Below are 17,586 nucleotides of genomic sequence, written 5' to 3'. Positions count from 1 at the left end.
TTAAAGTCAGCATGGAGAAATCTTTTTAAGTATTAACTAATAACTCTGTGGTTGTGTGTTCTGTTTGTGTGTTTTTGTTGTTTTGGTTTGTTTCTGGCTAGCTCATCAGAGTTGTAACAAGCTCAATTAAAGTGCAAGGAATCCTGTCTTATGCCTGTGTCATACTCTTCTATTTTGGGTAAGATTATTCTTGAATATGTTTTTGGCTATACAGTAAAGCATAAATGCAAGATGTAATGGAAGTTAGTAGCATCCCAATCATACTACTCCCAGTCTATGCCAGGGGTTTCCATTCAACAGCTATACCTCCAAGTGTATTTATTTGTGACTCAGTTAGATTAACTACGCTGCTATTTGGTAGTAGTATTAATAGTACTTTAGATTTTATTTTAATTTTTAGCAAAATCTTAAAGCCCTTTTTGCTTAAGATTTAGGTTTCACTCACATTTTTTTGATGAATAAAAGACTGCCATTGCAGACATGTTTTCATATTTAAAAACATCTTTGACCCTCCAATATGTTTGCCACATTGAATTGTTCAGCACACTGTAGGCAGGCATCACGTAAACCCAAATGTAATGCACAAGCTTAGGTTTTCTGTCTGTGACCAGTGGAATCCATCTGCAGGTTTGTTGGTCTCATGATCTTACATTTTGGTTGGGGGAGACATACAGTAAATTAACAACTAATTAAGATAGAAATAAATGGTATGAAGAAAATAACAATGTAAAATGATGATTTTGCCATTGTTACTTTTCTCAAGAAGTGAACGATGATAAAGTACCCAGACCTGGCAGTCAATTAACTTACTGAAAAATGAAACGGGAAACCTGTTCCACCCTCGCCTAGGTGGTGTGCATCAGGAGCTTCACTCAGGGAGGGGTGGTCTGAGAGGGTTCGAACTTGAATCCCTCCAGAGGAAAAAGGTTGGAGGGTAAGCATAGCAGTCACAACTTGAGCGGTGGATTGGCTTAGAGTTCCAGTTTCATGGTATTTTTAGTGTGTTTTTCACATTGTTTCCTGCCCAGGGCTTAGCACACTACCTAGCACGTGCTCAGGAAGCTTCTGTTGAAGTAGCATGAGAATAGTCACTTACTGTCTGCACTTTCCACCTCTCCACCAAGTATCCTGAGTCGTGAGCCTGCTTCCCAGCTCCTGCAGTAGCGGGCTCAGGCCCTTGTCCTGCAGAGCTGTGTGTAGGTCATGTGGCTAATTTCAGTGTTTCACAGAGGAGGAGGAGGTTCTGATCACACTGTACAGCATTGCCTGTTGTTTGTTTGAATGAGTATGTAAATGGTTTACTACATTAATGTAACTCTTTTCATTTTTTGACATTAAAAAACATTAAGACCTTCCTTTTCTAATGTAGATTCTCACACCGCCCCTCAATGTTTTTAACATTGTGCTGTGTTTACGAAGTGGTGTTGCTGTAATCTCAATGGGAATAATTGTTAGACAATCTAATTATTCTAGTGTTTTTTACATAATAATCAGGAAATGAAGCATGTATATGCTACATCTGAAAACCTTTGTTTAGTTACACTTGCCTGTGCATAGTTCATCCAGGGGTATGTGCTTTAATCTTGAGTTACTTAGAATTCAGGGCACCTGTGCCCCAGCCTCCCATGTCGCCTCACTTCTCCACCTGGATAGTGCAGCCAGCCAGATCTGCTTACTCACCTTTCTACTTTATTCACCTACTCTAATCCTCATCTCAGGATGATTCCTAAATTATCCTCTTCTCCTTCAGAAGCTTTCTCAAAACTACCTTGTCCATGCCTTCTTTATCAATTAACTACACCAAACCCAGGAATGTGTCTTCAGTTAAAAAAATAAAATCAGAATTCAGTTGGGCTTTTTGACATACAATGCTGAACTTTCCCCCACCACACCCGGTTTCTCCTCTTTCCCTCCAGACTCACTCTTGCCAGCTAAGGTGGGAGGACTTGCCAGCCTCTGCCGTTACTGCTCTCTGCCCAGTGCCCCTCAGGGAATAGCTGCTTAGCAGCAGGGCCTGGGCCTGGGCTGGTCTAGGGCTTGGCCAAAAAGAAGCCAGACAAGTGCCCTGCCTTGATGTCACAGAAATTCCCAACAACAAATAGACAACAACTAGAAAAACAAGTCACTCTATTGACAGTTGGTAGGAATCATTAGGAAGAAAAGCACAGTAGTATGAGGAGATGAATGGGAGAGGCAGATACAGCTGCCTTAGAGGGTGGCCAGGGCAGGCCTCTCTGGTGAGCTGGTGTTTCAGTAAGGAAGGGAGCTGTGCAGCCACCTGGGAAGAGCGTAGGCTCAGCAGAAGGGCATGGGGACACAGGCCTGATGGAGGAACAGCAGGCACCAGGCAGCTGCAGTAGTCCATGAGCAGCCATGGGGGAGGAGGGCCCGGGGACGGGAGACTACGAAAGGAGCTGAGCAGAAGATGGCATGGTGGCTCATGCCTGTAGCCCCAGGACTTTGGCAGGCTGGGTGGGAGGATTGCTTGAGCCCAAGAGTTTGAGACCAGCCTGGGCAACATAGCAAGACCCCATCTCTACAAAAAAGAAAATTAGCTGGGCGTGGTGGCATACGCCTGTGGTCCCAGCTGTGCAGGAGGCTGAGGTGGGAGATTGCTTAAGCCCAGGAGTTCAAGGCTGCAGTGAGCGATGATCATGCCACTGCACCACAGCCTGGGCGACAATGCAAGACTGCTTCTTAAAAAAAAAAAGAAAACCAACTTCTTCACTGGTTATAAAACTGGCATTGAGGTTAATGTGAGACTTTTTTCTTCCCATACTTTTTTCCAGATTTGTATTGAATGCCTTAAAATATTCATATTCTTTGACCCAGAAATTTTATTTCTGTAGTCATAGGTATCTAGGTATCCTAAGGAAATACAGATTTAATGTGTTTTCTTAATCAGAAACTTTTTAGTAGAAGCAAAATATTGAAAATAATCTAAATATCCAGAAATAGGAGTTGTTTGGGGCTTTGTTATTTGATAACCCATATAGTGATGTTATAAGGCCATTTAAAATAATGTCACTGAGGAACATTAACTGATATGGAACAAATTCATGATACAGTGTTATATAAATAACAACAATAATAACAAAATTGCTTGCCATTTCTGTGTGCCAAGCACTGCTCTAAGCACCTTACCTGTTGCTCTCCTTTCCAGATTAGCTGATTAAGTAGCTTGCCCAGGTGCACACAGGTTCTAAGCAGTGGACTCAGGACTCCACACAGACACACTTCACCCCAGAGTCCATGCTCTGCCTCCTGACTCCACTCGCCTACTGCCTTGTAAAATAGACCATTTCTATACAGCAAGAAAGTACAAATAGAGGTGTACTCAGAGAAAGCGACGGAAAGATAACATACTAAATGTCACAGTGATTATCATAAGGGTGTGGAATCATGTAATTTTATTATGTTCTTTTTTGTTCAACTGCATGTGCTAAATGTATTTGTTGTGTAATAAAAGAATAAATGTTATAATATTTAATACCAGGAAAAATTTCTAAATGGTATAATTTCTTACAAGAGAACTAAGGAGGCCAGGCATGGTGGCTCACACCTGTAATCCCAGCACTTTGGGAGGCCGAGGCAGGTGGATCACAAGGTCAGGAGTTTGAGACCATCCTGGCCAACATGGTGAAACCCTGTCTCTACTAAAAATACAAAAATAGCCGGGGGTGGTGGCGGATGCCTGTAATCCCAGCTACTTGGGAGGCTGAGGCCAAGAATTGCATGAACCCAGGAGGCGGAGGTTGCAGTGAGCCAAGATTGTGCCACTGCACTCCAGCCTGGGTGACAGAGTGAGACTCTGTCTCAAAAAAAAAAAAAAAAAAAAAGAGAACTAAGGAATTCCGAAGTTTTTCTTTGTGACAAGGAGGCCTCAGAAAACTCAAGATTTGTGTAAGTTCCTCTAAATCCCTAATCTGTCACCGTCCCATGCCCCCCCACCTTCTCCTTAGCCATGGTAGTAGATGGCATTCACAGGGATTTAGATGAATTCCAACGGATGTGGTTTGTTTTGTTTCTGTTTTTAGGTTGATATCCCTGAAAGTACTTAATAGCATCGTGCTGTTGGGGAAATCGTGCCAGTATGTGAAGGAAGCCAAAATGGAAGAGAAGCTGTCGAATCCTCCCGCAACCTGCACTCCAGGCAAGCCGTCCAGTAAATCACAGAACAAATGTAAACCCTCTCAAGGTAGGTTTGGTCCCTTTCTTCACTTCCCTGGATCATTTTCAAAGAGTTAAATCACAGTTTGATCAATGTTAAGCAACGCTTTAAAGATTGGTTTCCCTTTGCATAGATTTTTGGGTCTTTTAATGGTTGTGTTTTAGATTTCATCCCATATATACCTGGCCCAGTGTTCTGAGTTTTTCCATTTACTCATTCGCTGTTCAACATTGAGCATCTGCGACACATCAGCTCCAGTGGATACAGCAGTGGGGTGGAAAGGCAATTCTCTGCTCCCATGGAGCTTGTTCTAGATTGTCGGGAAGAGGGGTAGAGAGAAATAAATATGCACTATGTCAAGTGACGGGGAACTGCAGAGAAAACAAAAGCAGGACGGGGAAAGGGAAGTACAACAGGGAGTTGGGCCCTCCCCCAAGTGTGAGGAGATGGCACTGCACAGAGTCCTGGAGCCCGAGACAGCACATCCAGCCTTCCAGGAGCAGCTCCCAGGCAGAGGCCCGGCAGGCCCAGCAAAGGCACCAAGGCAGGAAGATGCTTGGCGCATCAAAGGACATTAAAAGCCAGATGGCTGCAGTGGCCCATCCCAGGGAAAAGGACTGGAGAGGGGGTCTTGGGGACCATGGAGAGCTGCAGGCTGTTATGAGAACCTTCCAGGTGGAAGGGGGCTGTTGCGGGGCTTTGAGCGGAGCAGTGGCATGGTGCAGCTGACATTTTAAAAGGATCATTCTCAAGCTTTGTGGAAAATAAACTCCAGAGGGGTGGGCCCAGAGGTAGGGACCAGAGAGGCAGCTATCTGGCCAGGAGCAGGGTAGGTGGTGTGAGCAGGGAGACCTGGCCAGGTTCTGGATAGACCTGGGAGGTTTGCGTGAAGTATTTGCTGGTGAGGAAGTTATGCAGTGTGAGAAGAATAGGTGAGTTCAGGATGATTCCAGGGTTTCTGGGTTGGAAGATTTGGAGGAAGAACTGGGACGTTGACTTAATTTTTGTTGTTAGGTGGCAGTTCCCTGTTCACAGAGGTATTTGTTCATATAACTTTTAGTTTAAATGATGTATTTTTTTTTTTTTTTTTGAGACGGAGTTTTGCTCCGTCGCCCAGGCTGGAGTGCAGTGGCGTGATCTCGGCTCACTGCAAGCTTCGCCTCCCAGGTTCACGGCATTCTCCTGCCTCGGCCTCTCGAGTAGCTGGGACTACAGGCGCCCACCACCACGCCCAGCTAATTTTTTGTATTTTTAGTAGAGACGGGGTTTCACCATGTTAGCCAGGATGGTCTCGATCTCCTGACCTCGTGATCCGCCTGCCTCGGCCTCCCAAAGTGCTGGGATTACAGGCATGAGCCACCATGCCTGGCCTAAATGATGTGTTTTTAAATGTGTGGAATAACTGTGTGCAAGGTCATAGAGGAGATGCTGAAGAGAGAAAAATAAAGGATGTCCTTCAAGGCCTCATGTAACTACAGGGGTCCAAATAGGTGAGCAGAGGGTTTGGAGGGACAGGAGAGGGGGGTTCTTCTAAACTAAAAGCTTGAAGGATGAAACTGGCCCAGGGCAGACTGGTGGAAAGGGCACTCCAGAAGGGCCAGCATGAGTTAGATCATGGAGACCTGGAAAAGCGTCTGGAGAACTAGCAGCTCAATATGGCAAGTGTGGAGTGTGCTTCAGAAAGAGGGAGGAGAGGAGAGTTGGGCTGGACTGGAGTCCTACCTGAAAGTGGGTCTGTGCTCATCATCTGTACTTAACCGGAAGCGAAAATAAAGTAAAATAACAATGTGTATAATCACTGGGAAATTATTTTTTTCATTATAAGAACACTATTAGTAATAAGGATTGCATTTTTTTCAACCAACTAGGTAATTCATAGTGGGGCCTGTACGTGTTCTCTTGTTACGCATATTAGTTAAGAAGTTAGGCTAGGCATAGTGGCACATGCCTTTAATAATCCCAGCACTTTGGGAGGCTAAGGCAGAAGCAGCGCTTGAGCCCAGGAGTTCGAGACCAGCCTGGGCAACCTAGTGAGTCCCATCTCTACAAAAAATATAAAAACAAAAAGTTAGTAAGCGTCACTCTTGCTTTCAAGGAGGATCCAGTCTAATGGGGATAAAAGCTTTAAGCACGTACTGCAGGGCAGGGCCATTGACTCAGGGGTCATGTTATGAGAAGTACATTCAGGATGACGACCTGAGTGTTTGCTCAGAATGTCTTGGAGGTCAGGAGAACACAGACTGGAGAACATGCAGGAGGGTGTTGAAGTCAAGCTAAAGAGAGGGAGGGGGCTGTCTCTCAAAGCTGCATCAGATTCATCACGTTGTAAAAGAGACAAAAGACAGCGGTTCTGGGGGTGAGGGCAGGAGAGAGGGATTACTACAAGAGAGCTGGATGTGTCATTACCTCCATCATGGCAGTAGTGTGACCAGGTGTATGCACATGTCAGAACTCATCAGATTATACATTTTAAATGTGTACAGCTGATGGTGTGTCTTTTTTGCCTCAAAGAAGCTGTTCTTACATGGATTGAATGTATGATTCAGATGAGTCTCTCCAGGCCCCAGCCCAGCTGTCCCCAAAGCCAGGCTCCAGGATCTCTGTGGCCTAAAATGAACATTGGGGGTTTTGTTTATTTGTTTGTTTGTTTTTAACCTCTGGTTTGGACTTCCCAGAGATGATGATGCTAAACCATCTGTAGCTGAAGTGACTACAGATGACAGGTGGAATGTAGTAAAGTCTTCTTGGCCCACTCCCTGATGTTCTGTATTGGAGCAAGTGTTAATGTTTCAGGACTGCCAACAGTCATGTTAGGTCTTGATTATATAGAGAGGAGCCGTAATGTAGGAGTTGTGATCTTTCTGCAGTTGGGTGATGGCATTGTTTGTGTGATACGAGCAATGTAATGTACCCTTCCATAAAGTTGAACAAACAGATGATTAGCCTCTAAGTTTTATTATAAATGATGGCTGCTTATACAACATGCTATTTGGTTATCATTTGCTTTATCGGAAAGCATGGATAATGGGCACTTTTTTCAGCACCACTGTATTGGTAAGTTTGTATTTATTAATAATTGGAGAAAAGTCTTTCTCTAATTTAATGGATCTATTTTATCACAGGCCTTTCCACAGAAGAAAACCTGTCTGCCTCCATCACCAAACAACCTATTCATCAAAAGGAAAATATCATACCATTACTTGTGACAAGCAATTCTGATCAGTTTTTGACAACTCCAGATGGTGACGAGAAGGACATAACGCAGGACAATTCTGAATTAAAACACAGATCCTCAAAGAAAGATTTGTTAGAGATAGACAGGTTCACAATTTGTGGAAACCGAATTGACTGAATCTGTGGCTTCATGCGCTGAAGAAGCTGGGTCCTGGGGCAACAAGTGCTGTGTTGCCAGGACAAATAGATGCTAAACATGGCACTTAAATATTTATTTAAAAACTTAAATTATTATTGGCAAGCAAATCTTAGTATCTTTCTTCCAGTAATATGGCCTGGCTGAGGGTCAGACCACAGGACAGGAGCGACCTCCGGCCTTGACTGTCTGGGAAGCTTGATGGATTATAAAACTTCCTCCTGCCTGGCCAAGCAGCAGCATCATTTCCAGGACCCAACAAAGGCAACATCAAAATCTGTTTTGCTTTGTCAGTCTGGGCTTCCAGAATGTTGAATTTGCCTCAAGGCCTCTTCAGTATAAGGAAATACCTGGAAAACTGTGAAACTTTTACCACGACGTAATCTTTCCAGTCTCATACTATTTTCACAAACAGTTTTCAAACGTTACTTCATCTGCCAAAGCATTAAAAAAATTAAACATAAGTCAAGATAAATGTTCTTACCACCAGAATAACCCTTAAAGATGTATCTTAATTAATCAGAATAAAAGGCTACCTTAAATAAGACATGATGAATAGTAGCATTTTGTAGGGTTAAAAAAAAATGCTAAACTAGTTTATTTATTAAAAAAATAATTAATGAAGGCTATGCATTACTGGGAAAAATCCTTCATAATTTTTCAGTTTACTCTTTAAAGCAAAATGTGAGCTGTATGTCATTTAATTGGTGGATAAAACAAATTTCCTTACAAAAGGGCACTTTTTACACCAAGGAAGCAGAGCAGTGTTAACTTTAAGGTATACTTAACTGATTTTGCTTTAAAACTAATTACTTCATAAATTATTACAGCTAAAAGGATTCGATGTTGAACAGGCTGAAAAATTGTCAATGTACAAAATTCAAAACTGTCAACTTTAACTGTAAAGTAAATGCTCCAAGTGTGTTAGACAGCATCATCTTGCTTGGGCTTACCAAATGCATTAGTCTTTGTGTTTGGGTCGACAGCGAGTGTGCCTGTGCTGGGGCAGGGTGTGTGTTCTGTGGGAGGGTGTCTGTGGGGATGTGACTATCAGGGTGGGCCTGTGCTGGGGATGGGGCAGGCCTGGGTCTGGAGAGGATTTTGTGTGAAAGTAAATGGGGTGTTTGAGGCGTATGGGTGGCTGTTGGTGTGGGGAGGCATCTGTGTATGGCTGTTGGGAACAGCAACCAAAAGGTGCTTTTTGGTTTTATTTGAGATGAAGATTGTGTTTCCGCTTAATTACTAGTTTGTGGTCTATATCATAGAAGTTATTTCCCACCCCATTTTATCTTGACAACCGTGTTTGCATTTCTGTAAAACTTCTACAACTTCTGGTGTCAGAACTGTCCAGAAGATGGTACTGTTAACTGTTATTTCCTTTGATGTTTTGATTTTGAAGTTTAGCTCTCATGCAAATGTTTCAGGCGTACATACATAGGCAGAAAGCAATTTTTAGGTGATTTGTCTGTTTCTTGGATGAAATATAAAGCAAGCTTTAATGTTCTGACTTGTTCATTTGAAATACAAAAAAGTAAGTGAATTTTAATGTTTTGCATTAACTAAAGAAATCTGAAGATTAATGTTGAGGAAATTGTATGGACATGCCTTTGTGAAACCAGGAAGTATTTTAAGTTAAAAATGAAAAAGGTTTTAATTGCTTTGTGTGTGTTTTAATGGAGCCCCATTTTAGAATTATTTTTTCCATCTCCCTTTACCAACAAAAGGAACAATGCCACCGTGAATGGAATAGTTTGGGGAAAGCTTTGCCAAACACAACCCTGATTTCAGAGCAGGAACATGGTTTGGATAGATCTTCAGTTCCGCTTGAATTATTCTGTTACTGCGCTGTCATTTTCAGAAGATTTCCATTCCTTTGCAGATGCTGTTGGGAGTTCGGGATTATGTTCATTTCTTCTGTTTTAATGGCATTCAGTACTAATTTTATAAGTGCATCTTGTGTGAATCTCAATAAATTCAGTTTTGTAATCTTTTTTAAAAAGGTCACTGAATTTATTTTAATATTTACTATTGTATTTGGTAGAGTGAATTTCCCACTGTATAATAAGTATTTATTTGTAATTCACAAGTGATAGAGCTATCTTAATTTGAATTATTGCTTTGGTCTTAATGGTGGCAAAATGTTTAATTTTGTCTTTGGAAAAAATAGGCTCGGCCTTGATTATAGACCATTTAATATTTCTCAGCAAATGAAGGTATTTGCATTTTACAAGTGTTTTGAATGTCACACAAAATATTTTTCACATCTGGGAGTCAAGTTCAAGACAGTGCTTTGGTTTTAAAAAAATCTAATGAAGGCACAGGATAGGCCAGACCCTTATTAGGTTTTCCTTTAGAATAAGTGTAAAGACCAAGTGTCACTGATACGCTTGTCCAGATTTTCTTGTGGACTTTGGCCAGTATTTAGAGTTTATATTCATGTTACATAAAGTGAAAGAAACTTGCTATAATTAGGCCATCAAAATATATCCTGCCACTCCTGGTAACTCAGCAGAGGAGGAGATAAATTTACAAAATAATGTAATATCTCTACATTGTTACATGTTTTCAACTATTTTTTATCAACAAAGATTTGTTAATCACTTCCTATGTGTCAGAAACTGTTCTAAGTGGTGGGATCAGCAATGAGCAAGATAAGTCCCTGTTCGTCTGTGGAAGACTGATAGGAACAAGTCGATGAAATAATGTCTGCTGGTCACAGAGTGTCCACTGACCAAATGATCTCTCAGGCTTATTTCAGCTCTAAAATATAGTTCTTTAAAACGTTTGTGTAAGTCTGATTTTTTTCCTATTGGATTAGCTTGAAATAAGATAATTGTATAGCAATTTTACAGTGCTTCTATAAAATAGAAATAAGAAAAGACTTTCTCCCTGAAGACTGCTAGTTGTCCAGCAGAATCCATTCTCCTGTTCCATTGTGTAGAGTTGTAGCTGGGCATGTGCTGCTTGCTGGGGACTGCATTTCTCAGCCCCTCTTGCTGTTACCTGTAGCCAGCTGACTCATTCTCCCAGGGGATGTAAGTTGAAGGGTGTATTCCGCTATTGGGCCAGGACCCTTAAGACCATGGGTGAGTCCCCCTCACCTCCTCTGTCCCCTTCCCACAGGTGGAACCCAGAGAAGGTAGTGACCTTGTCCCAGTAGGTGCCCATCATGGCAGAGCCATGAGAGAGAAGGAACCTGGGTCCCTGAATGCCGCTGTGGAGCAGAGTTGCTGGTCAGCTTGGAAAATTCCGCTTGACTATACATAAGAGAGAAACTTTTGAAATGCCATTGTTTCTAAGCCACTGAACCTGGAGGTTCTGTGTTCTGTTCATGAAGTTTAGCCCACATTAGTACATTAGGAAATCTGAGAGGGACTATTTAGAGATCTTTACATAAAAGGAGCAAGGAGTTAGACCTATCTTGCTAAAACACATTCTTCTGAAAATTCTCTCTGGATACTCATTATTTATTATTTATATGGAAAAAGATAAAGATTACTCCACCCCACTTTTTCAGAGGTCAGACTCTCAGCACCCTTGGCTGTCTTGAACTGAACATTAAACTTGCCCATAAGTGGCAAAGTTCTATTTGTCCATATACTCTATCAAATAGACATTTCTTGCCCTTTATCTCAGAAAAGTGTGTATAGTAAAAGAGTAAAGTGTAAGTAGAGCTTAACAGCAAGGAGAAGTAGAAGCAAGAGGAGTTAATCAAGAGAGCAGTAAAAATATACCTGACGTCAGTGATGCCATGCCTGTGATTGCCAATAAACTGTGTTACAGGTCAATGTGATGTGTGGTATGCAGTAAGTGAGATCTAGGATGATTTAGATTGTGTTCATTACATACTATTAAGGATTGTGTTTGATACAAATTAAGGTTCGTACAATTGAGGGGAAGTTGTTCAGAAAAAAATGGCGTTCTCAGGGACCTTGAGTTATCTGAAAAGTTTGCTTATAGGGAGGAACTATTGCTTAGCAGTGCTGAGCAAACAAGGCATTGCTGTTCTAAATTTTATTAAGAGAGTAAATGTATCAGCAAGTTGGCAAAAGGCACAGTTATGCATAGTGTAGTAAAGTTGTATTTGAGGTTTTTGATATTTAATGACAAGGTAGGTATCAATACAATATGTTTTGCTTATTTATATGTTTTGTTTCTTGGGTTTTCTTGTTTGTTTTTTGTTTTTGGCTTATAAGGAAACCAAGGGAGGTCTTGAAGGCCCCTTTGGCCTCTTTTTAGAGGTATTAGCTCAGGGACTACAGAATGAATGAGCTCTTGCAGTGTGAATAATCTTCGAAGTGGATGGTTAATTTTGAAACTGCAATTATTTTCAATAAGCACATTCTCATTCCATTTTTAATATGTCAACATAAGAATGTAAATACTGGGAAGATTAGAAATCGCCATAATGTCAGGTTTAACCAGATAAGTGAAATGTATAACAAGGAAAAGGCATAAAAAGCTTGTTGGACTTACTTTCACAGATATTAATTGCACTCACTGAGCAGAGCACAGAAATGAAGGAGCTGTGCTTTCTGCCCATGGGGCTTAACTGTAATCTGACAGTGAAAAGTCCAAGATTCTTAGCAAGGCACTAAAGACTGGGGGGCTGACCCGGCAATTACAGCCCTGTGTGATGAGTACCACCATAAACCACGCCTCTGGCTGCAGCAAAACATTCAACCACATTCACTGCTGTAGCCCTTGCACCTCGTTCCTGGCACACACAGGCAGGCAATAAACATTTATTGGATGAAGAAAACATAGGGGCCATTGCAGAAGGTGTGCACTTGGGCCGCCTTGAAACAAGTAGGAATTAGATGGATAAGAAGGGAGAGGAAGGGCAAGGCACGAATGAACAAAAGAGGAAAGAGCACAGCGGAAGCTGCAGCGCAGGTTTCCTTCACTCCCCATTAAGTGCCAGCTGTCTTGCTGGGAAGATGAGGAGGGAAGCTTCCGTCCCATCCCTGGGGAAACGAGATGGAGGATGGAGGCAGGGGCTAGATCTCAAGAGCGCTCTTAATGCCTTGCTAAGAATCTTAGACGGTTAATCCTATAGACAAAGGGTGGAGGAGCTTAAGTGGAATTTTAAGTTGTTGTAATTATCAAATGAGAAATGAAAAAAAAAACTACTTGGTAAACTCTGAAGTGCTATGAACAGATCAATGTTTTAGAAAAGTCAGGGTGGTGTCCTTGTAAAGGATTATTGTGTAATCGCTTTTGTGTTCGTGTGAAAGCAGGGCTAAGCTCATTTTCTACATTCTTCTCATTGAACCTTTATGTCTCTCTAAAGCAGACACTTACCCCATTTTATAAGTAGAAAACTGTGGCTTAGAAAGGTTAAGTAACTTGTTCAGGGTCACACAAGGAGCAAGGAGCACAGCAGAAAGTTAAACCGCCTTCCTGAACTGGAAAACTGGAGCTCTCAAGCTCTCTGCCTTCTGCTATTTACGGAGAAGGGAGAAGCCAGATAAGGAAACCCCTTGAGGGAAGTGCCTGCAGCCACTCACAGCAGAGTGCGAGGACTTCAGGGATGTAGGGTGTACTGAGCTCTGGGATATTTACCCCTCTAAGATACTCTGGAGGGCTAGCCTGCCGTGTGATGTTGCAGTCAAGACCCTTGCTCTGTGCAACACAGCAAACCTCAGTCTCCTCATCTGCAAATCAGGGTTGAGAATATCCACTTCTCAGGGTTGTGAAGAGCAAATCAGATAATGCATCTGAAACTGTTTGTGAAGGCAACACACATGTCTAAGCTATGATGACGCAGCCCACATCAGTGATCCCCACAGTGTGGTCCCTGGGCCAGTGGCATCACATCACCTGGGAACAGACCAGAAATGCAGATCCCTGGGCCCTGCCCAGATGTGCTGAATCAGAAACTTCAGGGGTGGAGCTGGACAATGTTTGTTTGTTTAGACAGAGCCTTTGTTTTTTGAGACGGAGTCTCGCTCTGTCGCCCAGGCTAGAGTGCAGTGGTGCGATCTCAGCTCACTGCAACCTCCGCCTCCCGGGTTCAAGCAATTCTCCTGCCTCAGCCTCCTGAGTAGCTGGGATTACAGGCGTGCGCCACCACGCCAGGCTAATTTTTGTATTTTTAGTAGAGATAGGGTTTCACCATGTTGGCCAGGCTGGTCTCGAACTCCTGACCTCAAGTGATCCACCCACTTCGGCCTCTCAGAGTGGTGGGCTTACAAGTGTGAGCCACTGCGCCCGGCCAGGACAATCTGTTTTAACAGGCCCCTGGGCGAGTCTCCCCACTAAAGTGTGAGAACCGTGGAAAGTCATCATCCTCTAGGATCTAGATTTCAGGGTGATGGGTCCAAAAACTCACCTCTACTTTTTCCAAAGTAAAGATTGGAGAGACTAAAACACGATTTGGGGGCCAGAAGTTCTCTAGCATATGACTACATTCTGTTTAAAATCCATGATTGCTGTCACTCACTCAAGGCCAGGCAGCTAGACAGAGGCAGAGCAGGCTAGGACCAGGGGTTTCTAGATCTTCCTGAAACCCCCGCGCTGCTTCTACCGCATCCTCAGGGCTCCACCCCATCCTCTGGCAATAGTACCTTTCAGACGAGTCCTGCAGAAATCATAGAGCACTCATGATACCAAAGCTTTAATCACCAAGAGTTGGGGAAGGGAGAAAGGATATACAATCCACTAAGTGGCGTGATTCAGCACCAAAGCACCTTGTAGGGGATTCAGTCTGTTTTCACTGAGCATCTCCACCCATCTAGGAGTTGCTGGTGCAGCCAGCAAGGCAGGCACATCCCCTCTCTTTAGAAGCTTATATTCCAGTAGAGAAAACATCATAAAAATGTGAACGGGGCATTTCAGAAGGCGACCTGTGCTACAGAGGTAACAAGGTAAGGTGATAGGGACATGATGCTTTCTTGAAACCACATGGTCAGGGAAAGCCTCTAAAGGTGACATACAAGCAGAGACCTGAACTAAGGGAATGTCATGTGGCAGAGGCCCTCAAGTTCAAAGCTACTGAATTGAGAGGGAACAGAGTGTATCCTAGGAGCAGAAAGAAGTTCATTAGGGCTGGGAAATGAGGACATGGGGGTGGGAATGGGTTGCAGCTTTAATTGGTATGGGAGTGGAAGTCCAGGTCATCCAAGCCCCAGGACCGGAGGAGTTAGGTTACTACTGGTCCAAGGACGAGATAAAGAGTTAGGATATTACTGTCTTCTGCTCTCCGAAAAACGGGTTGCAGGGCAAGTAGCATAAAATCAGAGAGGCTAGCGAAGGGCTGTTTCTGTGATATAAACCAGGCTCAGGCAGGCCTGGACTCATGCCAGGGCAGGGCCAGGAACCCCCAGCCTGGCCTGGCTCTGTCTCCACCTCAGAAGGGCAAAGCAGCAGTAGCCTCTTGCAGGAACCTTAACACTTCCTTTGGCAACACAGACGCAGGACAGAGGATTCTGAACCTAGCTTTACCCATTTGTTTCTTCAATGCTGACACCACCTAGTAGGCAAAGTCAACTTCTATCTAATTGTGTTTCTCATTGGATGATCATGGTGATGAATGGCCTCCAGTTCTGCTACTCTCTGAAATGATGCCCGGGGGAAACAAGAGGGAAGCATCTGTAAGCTCCCCACCGAGCATCTGTAAGCTCCCCACCGAGCAGCAGGAAACAGTTCCACTCTCCCAGTGAGGGAATTGTGCTGAGAACTGGAAATGTTTTTTCCAGTTGACAAGATGAAATTTTTTTGAAGTTCAGATTCTATCCAAAACACAATAGAAAATAAGATGACTTTCCCTTGCAATTATTATGGATATAAATGCACTGTTCATTTCTCTTTCAAAGATGAGTTCGAAGATGACTTAGGTCCTAGGATGATGGGATCTCAGCATTAAAGCAGCTCTGACAAAGCATCTGACCCCTATTCCAGGGCTGCTGTTGTCCTGTACTCCTGAGAAGTTATCAAATAATTTTGTCTTGAAATAAGTGCTGTAGTATTAATAATAATTTTAAAACCAATCCTTTTTTTTTTTTTTTTTTGGAGAAGTCTCACTCTGTCGCCCAGGCTGGAGTACAGTGGCGCAATCTCGGCTCACTGCAACCTCTGCCTCCCGCGTTCAAGCAATTCTCCTTCCTCAGCCTATCAAGTAGCTGGGACTACAGGCACATGCCACCACACCTGGCTAATTTTTGTGTTTTTAGTAGAGACGGGATTTCACCATGTTGGCCAGGCTTGTCTTGAACGCCTGACCTCAAGTGATCCACCTCCTCAGCATCCGAACGTGCTGGGATTACAGGCGTGAGCCACTGCACCCAGCCTAAAACCAATACTTATTAAATATCTACTACAAATCATCATACAAGACCCTTTTAATTCATTACCTTATTTAATTTGCACAATGTCCCTGAAAAGTCCTCATTTTACACATGTGGAAACTGAGGCTCGGGAGGCTCTTTTCTCAACAAAGTCACCCAGCTAGGGAGGAACAGGGCCAGGATTTCAAGCCTGGTCCTTCTGATCCCAGAGTGCCGGCCCGTAACCATCATGCAGCCTATAGGCCTCAGGACAGCCTTCCACAAGAGCTCTTGCAAAATTCTTTTTCTTAAATCATTTTCTAACAAAAGCATGCATACTTAACAGAATTTCCATTCCTCCTGCCCTCCTTTTAGTTCACATTTTCCAGACTTTCATGTGATTCTAATTCTCCATAGATTGGCTTTGCTGAGTGTTATTTTTAGCATTTGGATTATGAATAGATTGTTCTGGTTATCCTGTTTATATTTTATATTGTTGAATCACCTATTTTCTCACTAAGGAATTGTGACAGCGTGAGGTGTATTTATGTGATGCCTGGCACTTTTTTTTCTTTTGTTTTTCAGAGATGTGGTCTCACTGTCACCCAGGCTGGAGTTCTGTGGCTCAACAATAGCTCCACTGCAGCCTTGAACTCCTGGTCTCAAGGGATCCTCCCACCTCAGCCTCCCAAGTATCAGGGACTACAGGCATGTGCCACCATGTACAGATAATTCTTTTCTCTCCTTGACTTCTGATTCCACCCTGCAAGGTGGGCATAGTATGAATGGGGATATCCATGTGCCAACCAGGAAACCAAGGCCCTGGTTTTCCGAGAGTCCAGATGCAGTGCCTGGGCTGGGAAGTGGGACTTCACACCGTAGGCCAGCACAGGGCTTCCAGCACTGCTGTTCTGCCCTGAGGAGGGGACAGTGGGGAGAGTAGCCTGCTTCCTGGCTTAAGCAATGGCGATTAACACACATTTTTAGAGCTTTTATTGTTTCATTCTGTAAGTAATAAGTGGCCACTGTCCTTAGCAAACTAATGCAGGAACAGAAAACCAAATACCACATGTTCTCACTTATAAATGGGAGCTAAATGATGAGAACTCACGAACACAAAGAGGGGAACAACAGACATTGGGACCTACTTAAGGGTGGAGGGTGGGAGGAGGGAGAGGAGCAGAACAAATAACTGCTGGGCACTAGGCTTAATACCTGGGTGATGAAATAATCCGTACAAGAAAAACGCCCGTGACACTAGTTTACCTATATAACAAACCTGCACGTGTACCCCAGCATACCTATAATTTCACCATCTAATTTGGTGCATACTTCTTCAACTCCTTCTGATAATATATAATAGATATAGGTTTCTACATGTAAGTATACCTCAGTGAGACTCTACCATATATGTTGGCTTGTGACATGCTTCATTCCCTTTACATGTAGTGGGCATTTTTCCATGTCAATAATTTAAAATGTTTTCAAAGGCTATGTAGACTTCCCATGTATGGCCAAGTCCTCATTTGTTTAATCGCTTCCTTTGTGCTGGACAAATTCTCTGATTATTTCCTTAGGATGCATTCTGAGAGCGGAATTAGTTGGACAAAGTCTTGATGTCTGTTGCCAAATTGCTTTCCAGAGGCACCAAGTGTAGAAGCGTGCCTGAAGTCTCCACACTTTCACCAGCCCTGGGTTGAATGAGTGGCCTCCTAAGGCTTGCCAAGCTTACAGATGTTTTAAAAAAGGTACCCAGTTTTAAGAATGTAATGAAATAT

The 17,586-nt window shown here is 43.1% G+C and overlaps 1 protein-coding gene across 10 annotated transcripts in view; it reads left to right on the top strand.

The window, feature by feature from the left end:
- Window positions 1-10,326, top strand: part of TAPT1 (transmembrane anterior posterior transformation 1) — a 66,886-nt gene extending 56,560 nt beyond the window's left edge. For 8 of the 10 annotated variants that reach the window (XM_047449754.1, XM_011513816.4, XM_011513812.4 and 5 more), the window contains 3 exons: window positions 102-178; window positions 4,038-4,198; window positions 7,294-10,326. In XM_047449754.1, the coding sequence (XP_047305710.1) occupies window positions 102-178; window positions 4,038-4,198; window positions 7,294-7,523 (468 nt within the window). In that variant the 3' untranslated portion in view covers window positions 7,524-10,326. Of the gene's footprint in view, window positions 1-101; window positions 179-4,037; window positions 4,199-7,293 lie in introns of those variants that run through there. The other 2 variants (XM_047449759.1, XM_047449758.1) reach the window with 1 other exon arrangement.

The sequence above is a fragment of the Homo sapiens genome, chromosome 4 (assembly GCF_000001405.40).
Source record: "Homo sapiens chromosome 4, GRCh38.p14 Primary Assembly".
Lineage (NCBI taxonomy): Eukaryota > Metazoa > Chordata > Mammalia > Primates > Hominidae > Homo > Homo sapiens.
Note: the sequence above shows the minus strand (reverse complement) of the source record. Positions and strands in the feature narration are given on the sequence as shown.